At 48.9% G+C, this 13,657-nt stretch overlaps 1 protein-coding gene across 11 annotated transcripts in view; it reads right to left on the bottom strand.

Annotated features, from left to right (window-relative positions):
- Positions 1 to 13,657, bottom strand: part of CATSPERD (catsper channel auxiliary subunit delta) — a 58,098-nt gene that overhangs the window by 34,332 nt on the left and 10,109 nt on the right. For all 11 annotated transcript variants that reach the window (XM_011527885.4, NM_152784.4, XM_011527887.4 and 8 more), the window contains 3 exons: positions 10,433 to 10,547; positions 7,198 to 7,265; positions 4,964 to 5,077 (listed from right to left, as the gene is read on the bottom strand). In XM_011527885.4, coding sequence (XP_011526187.1) covers positions 4,964 to 5,077; positions 7,198 to 7,265; positions 10,433 to 10,547 — 297 coding nt within the window. The remainder of the gene's footprint in view (positions 1 to 4,963; positions 5,078 to 7,197; positions 7,266 to 10,432; positions 10,548 to 13,657) is intronic.

The raw sequence follows: 13,657 nt of genomic DNA, 5'->3' as shown, positions 1-13,657 counted from the left end.
CAGATGAATAAATCTTAATACACATGTGTTTGTCGGTTTAACTTCAGATTATCTAATAAGTTACAATGAAGGAAAGTCTTTTTTAGAAAAACAAATAATGCCCTCTGTGGAAATATGGCACTCAATTGGGTGCGGTGGTTCACGCCTGTCATCCCAGCACTTTGGGTGGCTGAGGCGGGTGGATCACCTGAGGTCAGCAGTTCGAGACCAGCCTGGTCAACATGGTGAAACCCCATCTCTACTAAAAATACAAAAATTAGCCGGGTGTGGTGGTAGGCGCCTGTAATCCCAGCTACTCAGGAGGCTGAGGCAGGAGAATCACTTGAACCCGGGAGGCAGAGGTTGCAGTGAGCCACAATCATGCCACTGCCCTCCAGCATGGGTGACAGAGTGAGACCTTGTCTCAAAAAAGAAAAGAAAAGAAATGTGACACTTGGGGCAAAAACTTGAAAGAAGACAGCTTTGGTTTGGGTGTTTGGAGAAAATGATATGACCCAGACTGCTAGAAGGCTGCCTGAGTCTTTCATTCCTGCCTGGGAGTCCTCATTCCTGATTGTTAGCTGGACAGCAAAGTGTCTAGCAGCTGACTTGGAACAGGAATCAAGGGCCCCACCTAGGGATAGTGAGACAGATTTCCATAGCAGCCCAGCTGGCTACCTCCCACATCTTGCAGAGACAGAGACAGAGACAGAGACAGAGAGAGAGAGAGAGAGAGAGAGGAAGAGAGAGAGAGAGGAAGAGAGAGAGAGAGAGACAGAGACAGAGAGACTAAGACTGCTATCTTTTTTCTTTTTTTCTTTTTTTGAGATGGAGTCTCACTCTGTTGCCCAGGCTGGAGTGCAGTGGCACAGCCTCGGCTCACTGCAACCTCTGTCTCCTGGGTTCAAGCAATCCTCCCTGCCTCCCCATCTCAAGTAGCTGGGACTACAGGCACCTGCCACCATATTTGGCTAATTTCTGTTTTTTTAGTAGAAACGGGGTTTCGCCATGTTGGCCAGGCTGGTCTCAAACTCCTGACCTCAGGTGATCCGCCCACCTCGGCCTCCCAAAGTGCTGGGATTACAGCCATCAGCCACAGTGCCTGGCCTTGTTTGTTTTTGAGACAGAGTTACACTCTTGTCGCCCAGGCTGGAGTGCAATGGTGTGATCTCAGCTCACTGCAACCTCCGCCTCCTGGGTTCAATCGATTCTCCTGCCTCAGCCTCCCGAGTAGCTGGGATTACAGGCGCCTGCCACCACACCTGGCTAATTTTCTGTATTTTTAGTAGAGATGAGGTTTCACCATCTTGGCCAGGCTGGTCTTGAACTCTTGACCTCGTGATCCACCTGCCTTGTCCTCCCAAAGTGCTGGGATTACAGGCGTGAGCCATCGAGCCCAGCCTCAAGATCCTTAATTTAATCCCACCTGCAAAGTTCCTTTTGCCATGTCAGGAACCATATTCACAGGTTCCAGGAATTAGGATGTGGACACCTTTGGGGGTCTATTATTCTACCTGCCTTCAAGACCCTCCCTCCACCTATCCCATTAGGCAATTATGGGATCCATCTGCCCCTGGAAGGGACTCTAGATCCTGCTCCATCACTCCAACCAGTTTCTTTTCTTTTTCTTTTTTTGCAACAGGATATCTCTCCGTCCCCCAGGCTAGAGTGCAGTGGCACGATCACACCCCACTGTAGCGTCAGTCTCCCAGGCTCAAGCAATCCTCCAGCCCCCTGAGTAGCTGGGACCACAGGTACCTACCACCATTCCCAGCTCATTTCTTTTTCAATTTTTTGTAGATATGGTGGGGGGTGGGTCTCACTATGTTCCCCAGGCTGGTCTTGAACTCCTGAGCTCAAGTGATCCTCCTTCCTCGGCCTCCCAAAGTGCTGGGATTACAGGTGAGAGCCACTGTACCCAGCCGTCAATATATACAATTGATAGCAATAGGGGCTGACTCTTGTCCTGGCTGTAGCAGTGCTGAGAGCTCAACTATTCTCTGCGGTAACCTCTCCTCTTGAAATGTCCGTGATAAAAACAATTCCACTGCCACACGCACAAACATACATGCACACACACACATGTACACACATGCACACGCACACCCACACACACATTCACATACGTACACACGCACACACACGTACACACATGCACACGCACACCCACACACATTCACATACGTACACACACGCACACACATGTACACACATGCACACATGTACACGCACACACGTTCACATACATACACACACGCACACACACGTTCACACACGTACACACGCGCACACACGCACACACAAACGCTATTTTAGTAATAATTGGGAATTTTAGTGATGCTAGGTTTCCTTTTTTGTTTTTTTTGTTTGTTCTTTTTTTTTTTCCTTGAGACAGAGTTTCACTCTGTCACCCAGGCTGGAGTGCAGTGGCACGATCTGGGCTTACTGCAACCTCCTCCACCTCCCAAGTTCAAGTGACTCGCCTGCCTCAGCCTCCCAAGTAGCTGGGATTACAGGCACGCCAGCCGCCACACCCAGCTAATTTTTGCATTTTTCAGTAGAGACGGGGTTTCACCAAGTTGGCTTGGCTGGTCTTGAACTCCTGACCTCAAGTGATCCACACCACCCCCCCCCCCCCGCCTTCAGCATCCCAAAGTGCTGGGATTACAGGCTGAGGCACCGCGCCTGGACAGCGGTCATTTGATTTGAAGGCCACCTGATTTCAATGTGACCTCATTCTAGCTTAACTGATTACATCTGCAAAGGCCCTACTTCCAAGTCAGTTTCCTGCTATGGTTTGAATGATGGTTTCCCCTCCAAAATTCATGCTGAAATCCCCAATGTACTATCAATGTATGGTCTTTGGGATGAGCATCCTTATAAAAGAGCTCTACGTTGAAGAGAGCACTGTTCGTTGGTTCTTCTGCCTTCTGCTGTGTGAGGACGTGGCTCTTGCCCCTCCAGAGGACCCCCCAACATAGGCACCATCTTGGGAGCAGATTGCAGCCTTCACCAGAAAACAACCTTGCTGGCGTCTTGATCTTGGACTTCCCAACCTCCAGAACCATGACAAGTAAACTTCTGTTCCTTATAAATTACTCGGTCTCAGATATTTTGTTACAGCAGCAAAAATGCCAAAGACAGTTAGAGTCTGAAGTTCCAGGTTGACATAAATTTTGGGGGGACATTGGTTCAACCCGCTACAGTTTTCTCATCTGTAAAGTGAGCATGATGATGAACCTGATAGTACCAATCTTCAGGTGGGCATGTGGGTGTGTCATAAGTTAATGTGTTGCCTTTACTAGGGCATTAGCTTTTTTCTTTTCTTTTCTTTTTTTTAAGACAGGGTCTCACTCTGTCATCCAGACTGCAGTGCAATGGCGTTGTCTCAGCTCACTGCAACCTCCACATCCCAGGCTCAAACAATCCTCCTGCCTCAGCCTCCCAAGTAGCTGAGACTACAGGCATGCACCACCATGCCCGGCTAATTGTTATATTTTTGGTAGAGACAGGGTTTCCCCGTATTGCCCAGGCTGGTATTTAACTACTGGACTCAAGCGATCCACCTGCTTCAGCCTCCCAAAGTGCTGGGGTTACAAGTGTGAGCCACCATGTCCCTACACGGCTGGGCGCTAGCTTTTTTTTTTTTTTTTTTTTTTTTGAGACGGAGTTTCTCTGTTGCCCAGGCTGGAGTGCAGTGCCGCAATCTTGGCTCAAGCAACTTCTGCCTCCCGGGTTCAAGCGATTCTCCTGCCTCAGCCTCCCGATAGCTGGGATTACAGGCGTCCGCCAATACACCCAGCCAGTTTTTGTATTTTATTTTATTTATTTATTTTGAGATGGAGTTTCGCTCTTGTTGCCCAGGCTGGAGTGCACTGGTGCGATCTCGGCTCACTGCAACCTCCGCCTCCTGGGTTCAAGTGATTCTCCGGCCTCAGCCTCCCGGGTAGCTGGGATTACAGGCATGAGGCACCACGCCCAGCTAATTTTGTATTTTTAGTAGAGATGGGGTTTCTCCATGTTGGTCAGGCTGGTCTCGAACTCCTGACCTCAGGTGATCCACCCACCTCGGCCTCCCAAATTGCTGGAATTACAGGCGTGAGCCACTGCGCCCAGCTTATTTTATTTTATTTTATTTTTTTGAGACACTGTTTTGCTCTTGTTGCCCAGGCTGGAGTGCAATGGTGTGATCTTGGCTCACCGCAACCTCTGCCTCCCGGGTTCAAGCGATTCTCCTGCCTCAGCCTCCCGAGTAGCTGAGATTACAAGCATGTGCCACCACGCCCAGCCCATTTTGTACTTTTAGTAGAGACGGGGTTTCTCCATGTTAGTCAGGCTGGTCTTGAACTCCCAACCTCAGGTGATCTGCCCACCTCGGCCTCCCAAAGTGCTCAGATTACATGCGTGAGGCACCGCACCTGGCCTGTCACTAGCTTTTTATAAGTACTACTTAAATGGCATAAATGGTGCCATGATTTTGCCTGACCTAAAACTTTTTGTCTCTAACTTCCTAGGCTCCTGAGCTGGCTCCATTGACCTGGAATTTTCCCTAACCTCCCAGCCAGTGGACTTTTTTTTTTTTTTTGAGATGAGGTCTCGCTCTGTCACTCAAGCTGGAGAGCAGAGCTGTGATCATAGTCACCACAGCCTCAATCTCCCAGACTCCAGTGACCCTCCCACCTCAGCCTTCCAAGTAGCTAGGACTAAAACACACGCCACCACACCTGACTAATTTATTTATTTTTTTTATTTTTTGTAGAGATGGGGTCTTGCCATGTCACCCAGGCCGGTCTCAAACTCCTGGGCTCAAGCTATCCTCCTGCCTCAGCCTCCCAAAGTGCTGGGATTACAGGCATGAGCCACCACTCCTGTCCCAGTTGGACTCTTAAAGAGGAAAACACCCTCACGCACCCATTGACAGCAATTACTACAATCACAAGGTACATATGTATTTATTTTCACATTCTTACCAAATTTAACATACCTGTCTGTCATAGTGATACTTCCAAAAACTGAATCCCCCAGTATTTGAATAATATATATAAGTCTGGGATATCTGATCTCCACGGAAATATGCAAAAACCAAATTACTGACATGCTATAAAAAAAAAAAAGAAAGAAAGAATGAAAGAAAGATGCCAGCAAGTACGTTCCTGAACGTTTATCCCAGAGAAATGAAAACTCATGACTGAAAAAAACCTGGATGTCTGGACGTGACTGTTCGATGGGGCTGTTTCTGATAGCCAAAAAGTGGATACACGCCAGGTGCGGTGGCTCACGCCTGTAATCCCAGCACTCTGGGAGGCCGAGGCAGGCAGATCACTTGAGACCAGGAGTTCAAGACCAGCTTGGCCAACATAATGAAACCCCATCTCTCCTAAAAAATACCAAAGTTAGGCTGGGCGTGGTGGCTCACAACTGTAATCCCAGCACTTTGGGAGGCTGAGGCGGGCGGATCAGTTGACGCCAGGAGTTCAAGACCAGCCTGACCAACATAATGAAACCCTGTCTCTTAAAAAAAACAAAAACAAAAACAAAAACAAAAACAGGCCGGGCGTGTTGGCTCACGCCTGTAATCCCAGCACTTTGGGAGGCTGAGGCAGGTGGATCACTTGAGGCCAGGAGTTTGAGACCAGTCTGGCCAACATGGTGAAACCCCACCTGTACTAAAAATTAGCCAGGCGTGGTGCTGTGTACCTGTAGTCCCAGCTACTCAGGAGGCTGAGCCAGGGGAATCACTGAAGCCTGGGAGGCGGAGGTTGCAATGAGCCGAGATTGCGCCACTGCACTCTACCCTGGGTGACAGTCATAGACTGTTTATGTTATTAGTGAGGCTTCCAGGCAACAGTAGGCTATTAGTAATTAAGTTTGTTTTTTGGTTTGTTTTTGTTTCGAGACAAGTTCTGGCTCTATTGCCCCAGCCGAGTGCAGTGGCATGATCTCAGCTCACTATAACCTGCGCCTTCTGGGCTCAAGCCATCCTCCCACCCCAGCGACCTGAGTAACTGGGACTATAGGTGCTCACCACCATATCTAGCTATTTTTTTCTTTTCTTTTTTTTTTTTTTTTTTGTATTTTGAGTAGAGACAAGGTCTCACCATGTTGCCCATATTAGCCTCGAATTTGTAAGCTGGGATTACAGGTGACTGCCAGCACGCCTGGCTAATTTTTTGTATTTTTAGTAGAGACGGGGTTTCACTATGTTGGCCAGGCTGGTCTCGAACTCCTGACCTTGTGATCTGCCCGCCTCAGCCTCCCAAACTGCTGGGATTACAGGCATGAACCACCACGCCTGGACAGTAATTAAGTTTTGGGGAAGTCGAAAGTTACCTGTGGATTTTCAACTGTGTGGGGTGGAGGGTGGTACCTCTAACCTATACGTTGTTCAAAGGTCAACTATAGATGGATGTATTTATAGTGTCAGCCGGTGGATCTGAAAACGTCCCCAAAACCTTTTCCATCTCCCAACTGTGCTCTGAGCCCATGGGAAATAACACTGACCAAGTTCTTGAGACCCAGTCTCAAGCCTTACACTGTCCTTATTTCTTTATCTTTTTTCTTTTTTTTTTTTTTGAGATGGAGTTTCACTCTTGTTGCCCAGGCTGGAGTGCAATGGTGCAATCTCAGCTCGCTGCAGCCTCCGCCTCCCAGGCTCAAGGGATTCTCCTGCCTCAGCCTCCTGAGTAGCTGGGATTACAGGCACACGCCACCATGCCTGGCTAATTTTTTGTATTTTTAGTAGAGACAGGGTTTTGCCATGTTGGCCAGGCTGGTCTCGAGCTCCTGGCCTCAGGTGATTCCACCTCGGCCTCCCAAAATGCTAGATTACTACAGGCATGAGCCACCATGCCCAGTCTTTTTTTTTTTTTTTTTTTTTGACAGAGTCTTGCTAGTTGCCCAGGCTGGAGTGCAGTGGTGTAATCACGGCTCATTGCAGCCTCGATCTCCTGGGCTCAAGCAATCCTCCTGCTGTGGCTGGGACTACAGGCACATGTCACCACACCAAGCTAATTATTTTATTGTTTTGTAGAGATGGGGTTTCACTATGTTGCCCAGGCTGGTCTCAAACTCCTGGGCTTCAGCAATCCTCTTGCCTCGGCCTCCCAAAGTGCTGGGATTACAGGTATGAGCCACCACGCCCAGCCTTTATGTCTACTCATGATTATTTGTGTTCAGAGGAGAGCAAAAAAAAATGAACAATTATACACTTATACTTACCACACAAAACAAACTTCCAGTATAACAACAATTATCACCAGAGACATGTGTAACAGGGTGTTTTATACCTGAAAGGAAAATATAATTTTGAAATGTTTATGAGTTCCCTGAAGTTTGGAGAAAAGTTTTTTGTTTTTTGTTTTGTTTTTGAGACAGAGTCTTGCTCTGTCGCCCAGGCTGAAGTGCAGTGGCGTGATCCTGGCTCACTGCAAGCTCCACCTCCCGGGTTCATGCCATTCTCCTGCCTCAGCCTCCTGAGTAGCTGGGACTACAGGCACCCACCACCACGCCCGGCTAATTTTTTGTATTTTTAGTAGAGACAGGGTTTCACTGTGTTAGCCAGGATGGTTTCGATCTCCTGACCTTGTCATCCACCCACCTCGGCCTCCCAAAGTGCTGGGATTACAGGCGTGAGCCACCACACCTGGCCTAGAAAAGTTTATTTATTTACTTATTTATTTATTTGAGAGAGAGTCCCCCTCTGTCATCCAGGCTGGAGTGCCAGTGGTGCAATCTCTGTCGTCTAGGCTAGAGTGCAGTGGTGGCTCACTGCCACCTCCACCTCCCAGGTTCAAACGATTCTCCTGCCTCAGCCTCTCAAGCTGGAATTACAGGTGCCCACCACCATGCCTGGCTAATTTTTGCATTTTTAGTAGAGACGGAGTTTCGCCACGGTGGCCAGGCTGGTCTCAAACTCCTGACCTCGAGTGATCCACCCGCCTCGGCCTCCCAAAGTGCTGGGATTACAGGCATGAGCCACCGCGCCCAGCCTGGAGAAAAGTTCAGAACAGGGTTTCTCAGCCTCAACACTACTGAAATTTGGGAGCAGATGGTTCTCACTTGCGAGGAGTTTCCTATGCATTGTAGGATGCTTTTTAGCATCTGTATCTCTACCCACCACTCAATGCCAGTAGCACCTTCCTCTAGTCTTGACACCAAAAATGTCTCCAGACATTGCCAAGTGTCCTCTTGGGGGACAGAACTGCCCCCAGTTGGCCCGACTCGGTGGTTCACACCTGTAATCCTAGCACTTTGGGAGGCAGAGGTGGGCGGATCTCCTGAGGTCGGGAGTTCAAGACCAGCCTGGCCAAAATGGAGAAACCCTGTCTCTATTAAAAATACAAAATTAGGCCGGGCACAGTGGCTTATGCCTGTAATCCCAGCACTTTGGGAGGCTGAAGCGGGCGGATCATGAGGTCAGATCAAGACCATCCTGGCTAACACCGTGAAACCCCATCTCTACTAAAAATACAAAAAATTAGCTAGGCATGGTGGCAGGTGCCTGTAGTCCCAGCTACTCAAGAGGCTGAGGCAGAAGAATGGCATGAACCCAGGAGGCGGAGCTTGCAGTGAGCCGAGATCGCGCCACTGCACGCCATCCAGCCTGGGTGACAGAGCAAGACGCCGTCTCAAAAAAAAAAAAAAAAAAAATTAGCCGGGCATGGTGGCTCACGCCTGTAATCCCAGCACTTTGGGAGGCCGAGGTGACAGGATCACGAGGTAAATAGATCGAGATCATCCTGGCCAACATGGTGGAACCCCATCTATACTAAAAACATACAAAAATTAGCTGGGTGTGGTGGCACACGCCTGTAGTCCTAGCTACTCGGGAGGCTGAGGCAGGAGGATCACTTGAACCTGGGAGGTGGAGGTTGCAGTGAGCCGAGATTGTGCCACTGCACTCCATCCTAGTGACAGAGCGAGACTCCGTCAAAAAAAAAAAAAAAATTAGCTGGGCGTGGTGGCACATGCCTGTAATCCCAGCTACTCGGGAGGGTAAGGCAGGAGAATCGCTTGAACCCGAGAGGCAGAGGGTGCAATGAGCTGAGATCGTGCGATCGCACTCCAGCCTGGGCAACAACAGCGAAACTCCATCTCAAAACAAACTAACAAACAAAAAATTAGCCAGGCGTGGTGGCGGGTGCCTGTGACCCCAGCTACTCAGGAAGCTAAGGCAGGAGAATCGCTTGAACCCAGGAGGCAGAGGTTGCAGTGAGCCAAGACTGGGCCACTGTACTCCAGCCTGGGTGACCGAGTGAGACTCTGTCTCCAGAAAAAGAAAAGTAAGGTTTTTTGTAAAGATGGCATTCTGCTCTGTTGCCTAGGGTGGACTTGAACTCCTGGGCTCAGGCGATCCTCTTCTTTTCTAAAGCTAACATTTGCCTCATCTTCACTTTTCACATCCTCTTTCCTCCTGCATCAGAGTCCTCATCTTTCTCCCTCTTCATAAAGCTCACCTTCTCTACCGTCCCCTAGCCCTCGTGAGAAGTGTGTGGGAGGGACAATGCTCATAATCCAGCTTGGTTACCAGACATCTACTGGTCATCCTCAGTTTTCCCTGGTCCTCCCCGGACACCAGTCCATCACCAAGACCCGCTGATGTCCCTCGATTTTTTTTTTTTTTTAGACAGAGTCTCACTCTGTCATCCAGGCTGGGGTGCAGTGGCCCAATCTCAGCTCACTGCAACCTCCACTTCCTGGGCTCAAGGGATCCTCCTGCCTCGGGCTCCAGAGTAAGCTGGGATTACAGGCACACACCACCACACCCAGCTAATTTTTTTTTTTTTGAGACAGAGTTTTGCTCTTGTTGCCCAGGCTGGAATGCAGTGGCACAATCTCGGCTCACCGCAACCTCCACCTCCCAGGTTCAAGCGATTCTCCTGCCTCAGCCTCCCGAGTAGCTGGGATTACAGGCATGCACCACCACGCCCAGCTAATTTTGTATTTTTAGTAGGGACGGGGTTTCCCCATGTTGGTCAGGCTGGTCTCGAACTCCTGACCTCAGATGATCCGCCCGCCTCAGTCTCCCAAAGTGCTGGGATTACAGGCGTGAGCCACGGCACTCAGCCTAATTTTTGTATTTTTAGTAGAGACCGGGTTTCGCCATGTTGGTCAGGCTGGTCTCGAACTCCTGACCTCAGATGATCTGCCTACCGCAGACTCCCAAATTGCTGGGATCACAGGCGTGAGCCAGCGCACCCGGCCAATGCCTCTTGTTTGTTTCAATAAGCCCAAGTAGCTTTTGTGGCTTGTGACTACAATCCATGATGGGAACACTAGGTTCCCAGTCTACGGATGGGGACTCAGGCCAATTTTCATTTTGGTTGGAAAGGACAAAGTAATGTCCTGGGGTTGACATCCAAGTAGGAGCATCGCTTATACTTCCAACACTAATACCCTCTTCTCTCATGTTGACTACACTCAAACAAAATTTAAAAATACAAAATGTACATACCTAAAGACATGCTCCAAGAATTATTTTCATAATCATAAATATAGACTTTTTGATCCACTACTAACAGCAATAACGAACCAGCAAAATGTGCTGATGTCACTTCTGGTACGCCGACCTAAAAGTTATCATATGGATGATATCAATGAGAGCATCTTTTCAAACATTGATTCAGAAACGCAGACTTCTAGACATGCATTGAAAAAAAAAAAATGTATGGACGGGCGCGGTGGCCCTCGCTTGTAATCCCAGCACTTTGGGAGGCCAAGGCGGGTAGATCACCGAGGTCAGGAGTTTGAGACCAGCCTGGCCAACATAGTGAAACCCCGTCTCTACTAAAAATACGAAAATTAGCCAGTTGTGGCAGCAGGTGCCTGTAATCCGAGCTACTTGAGAGGCTGAGGCAGGAGAATCGCTTGATCCTAGGAGGTGGAGGTTGCAGTGAGCTGAGACTGGGTCACTCCAGCCTGGTGACAAGAGCAAAACTCTGGGAAAGAAAGAAAGAAAAGAAATAGAGAGAGAGAGAAAGAAAGAAAGAAAGGAGGAAGGAAGGAAGGAAGGAAGGAGAAGAAAGGAAGGAAGGAGGCAGAGAGGGAGGGAAGGAAGGAAGGAGGGAAGGAAGGAAGAAAGAAAGAAAGGAAAGAAAGAAAGAAAGAAAGAAAGAAAAAGAAAAAGAAAGAGACCAGGCGCAGTGGCTTACACCTATAATCCCAGCATTTTGGGAGGCCAAGGCAGGTGAATCACCTGAGGTGAGGATTTCAAGACCAGCCTGGCCAACATGGTGAAACCCTGCCTCTATTAAAAATACAAAAATTAGCTGAGTATGGTGGCAGGTGCCTATAGTCCCAGCTACTCGGGAGGCTGAGACAGGAGAATTGCTTGAACCCAGGAGGTGGAGGTTGCGGTGAGCCGAGATTGCACTACAGCTTGGGCAACAAGGGTGAAACTCCGTCTTGAAAAAAAAAAGAAAAAGAAAGAAAAGAAAAAAAACATTTATGGCCGAGCATGGTGGCTCACGCCTGTAATACCAACACTTCAGGAAGCCAAGGCAGGCGGATCACTCAAGGTTAAGAGTTCAATACCAGCTGGCCAACATAACAAAACCCCATCTCTACTAAAAATACAAAAAAATTAGCTAGGCATGGTGGTGCCTGCCTGTAATCCCAGTTACTCAGGAGTCTGAGGCACGAGAATCGCTTGAACCCAGGAGGCAGAGGTTGCAGTGAGCCGAGATTGCACCACTGCACTCCAGCCTGGGTGACAGAGACTCGGTCTCAAAAACCAAAAACAAAACAAAACAAAACAAAACAAAAAACACCATTTTCCATCCTGGCTGACATGGTGAAACCCCGTCTCTACTAAAAATACAAAAAATTAGCCGGGCGTGGTGGCGGGCGCCTGTAGTCCCAGCTACTCGGGAGGCTGAGGGAGGAGAATGGTGTGAACTCGGGAGGTGGAGGTTGCAGTGAGCTGAGATCACGCCACTGCACTCCAGCCTAGGCGACAGAGTGAGACTCCGTCTCAAAAAAAACAAAAACAAACAAACAAAAAACACCATGTATGCCAGCAATAGTTGGTTGGTTCTTAGATACTGAGAACTGTGTATCTTGGGGCCAGCTAGAACCAAGTTGAAGCTGGTCTTGGGTGCCCTGAGATACCTCAATTCATTCCATCTCCTCTTCCTTTATAAAAACCTTCCCTGAAGCTGGGCGTGGTGGCTCATGCCTGTAATCCTAGCACTCTGGGAGAACAAGACGGATCACCTGAGGTCAGGAGTTTGAGACCAGTCTGGCCAACATAGTGAAACACTGTCTCTACTAAAAAATACAAAAATTAGCCAGGCGTGGTGGCTAATTTTGGGGGTAATTCCAGCTACTCAGGAGGCTGAGGCAGGAGAATCGCTTGAACCCAGGAGGTGGAGGTTGCAATGAGCTGAGATCGTGCCACTGCCCTCCAGCCTGGGTGACAGAGGGAGACTCCATCTCAAAAAACAAAAACCACAAAATCAAATAAACAAACAAAACAAAACAAAACAAAACCTTCTTGGATGACAAAGCCTAAAGTATAAATGATGAATGACTAGCATTAACTGTTAAGTAGGCCGGGCGCGGTGGCTCACGCCTGTAATCCCAGCTCTTTGGGAGGCCGAGGCGGGTGGATCATGAGGTCAGGAGATCGAGACCATCCTGGCTAACAAGGTGAAACCCCGTCTCTACTAAAAATACAAAAAATTAGCCGGGCGCGGTGGCGGGCGCCTGTAGTCCCAGCTACTCGGGAGGCTGAGGCAGGAGAATGGCGTGAACCCGGGAAGCGGAGCTTGCAGTGAGCCGAGATTGCGCCACTGCAGTCCGCAGTCCGGCCTGGGTGACAGAGCGAGACTCCGTCTCAAAAAAAAAAAAAAAAAAAAAAAAAACTGTTAAGTGTCGCTTTTAGGAGAAATATTGGTATTTTCGATAATTGACAAAACTTTATTTTTATTTATTTATTTTGAGATAGTCTCAAGCTGCCACTCAAGCTGGAGTGCGGTGGCACAATCATAGCTCACTGCAACCTCTAGCTCCCGGCTCAAGCAATCTTCCCACCTCAGGCTCCTGAGTTGCTGGAACAACAGGCACGCACCACCACACCACCACACCACCACACTCGGCTAATTTCATATAGAGTTGGAGTTTCGTTGTGTTGCCCTGGGTAGTCCTGAACTCCTAGGGTCAAGCAATCTGCCCACCTCAGCCTCTTAAAGTGCTGGGGTTACAGGCGTGAACCACCATGTCCAGCCCAAAACTTTATTTAGCATAGGTGTCGATGGTATAATTTCTCAAATATTCACTAAGGGTGTGCTTTGGTTTAGGACAATTTGGGGGGCTCTTTTTTTTTTTTTTTTTGAGACGGAGTCTCGCTCTGTCACCCAGGCTGGAGTGCAGTGGTGCGATCACGGCTCACTACAAGCTCCGCCTCCTGGGTTCATGCCATTCTCCTGCCTCAGCCTCCCGAATAGCTGGGGTTGGAGTGCAGTGGCGCGATCTCGGCTCACTGCAAGCTCCGCCTCCCAAGTTCAAGCCATTCTCCTGCCTCAGCCTCCCAAGTAGCTGCGACTACAAGCACCTGCCACCACGCCCAGCTAATTTTTTTGTATTTTTAGTAGAGACAGGGTTTCACCGTGGTCTTAATCTCCTGACCTCCTGATGCGCCTGCCTCGGCCTCCCAAAGTGCTGGGATTACAGGCGTGAG

The sequence above is a fragment of the Homo sapiens genome, chromosome 19, assembly GCF_000001405.40.
Source record: "Homo sapiens chromosome 19, GRCh38.p14 Primary Assembly".
Classification (NCBI taxonomy): Eukaryota; Metazoa; Chordata; class Mammalia; order Primates; family Hominidae; genus Homo; species Homo sapiens.
The sequence above is the reverse complement of the archived record's forward strand: the minus strand, read 5'-3'. Positions and strand labels throughout refer to the sequence as shown.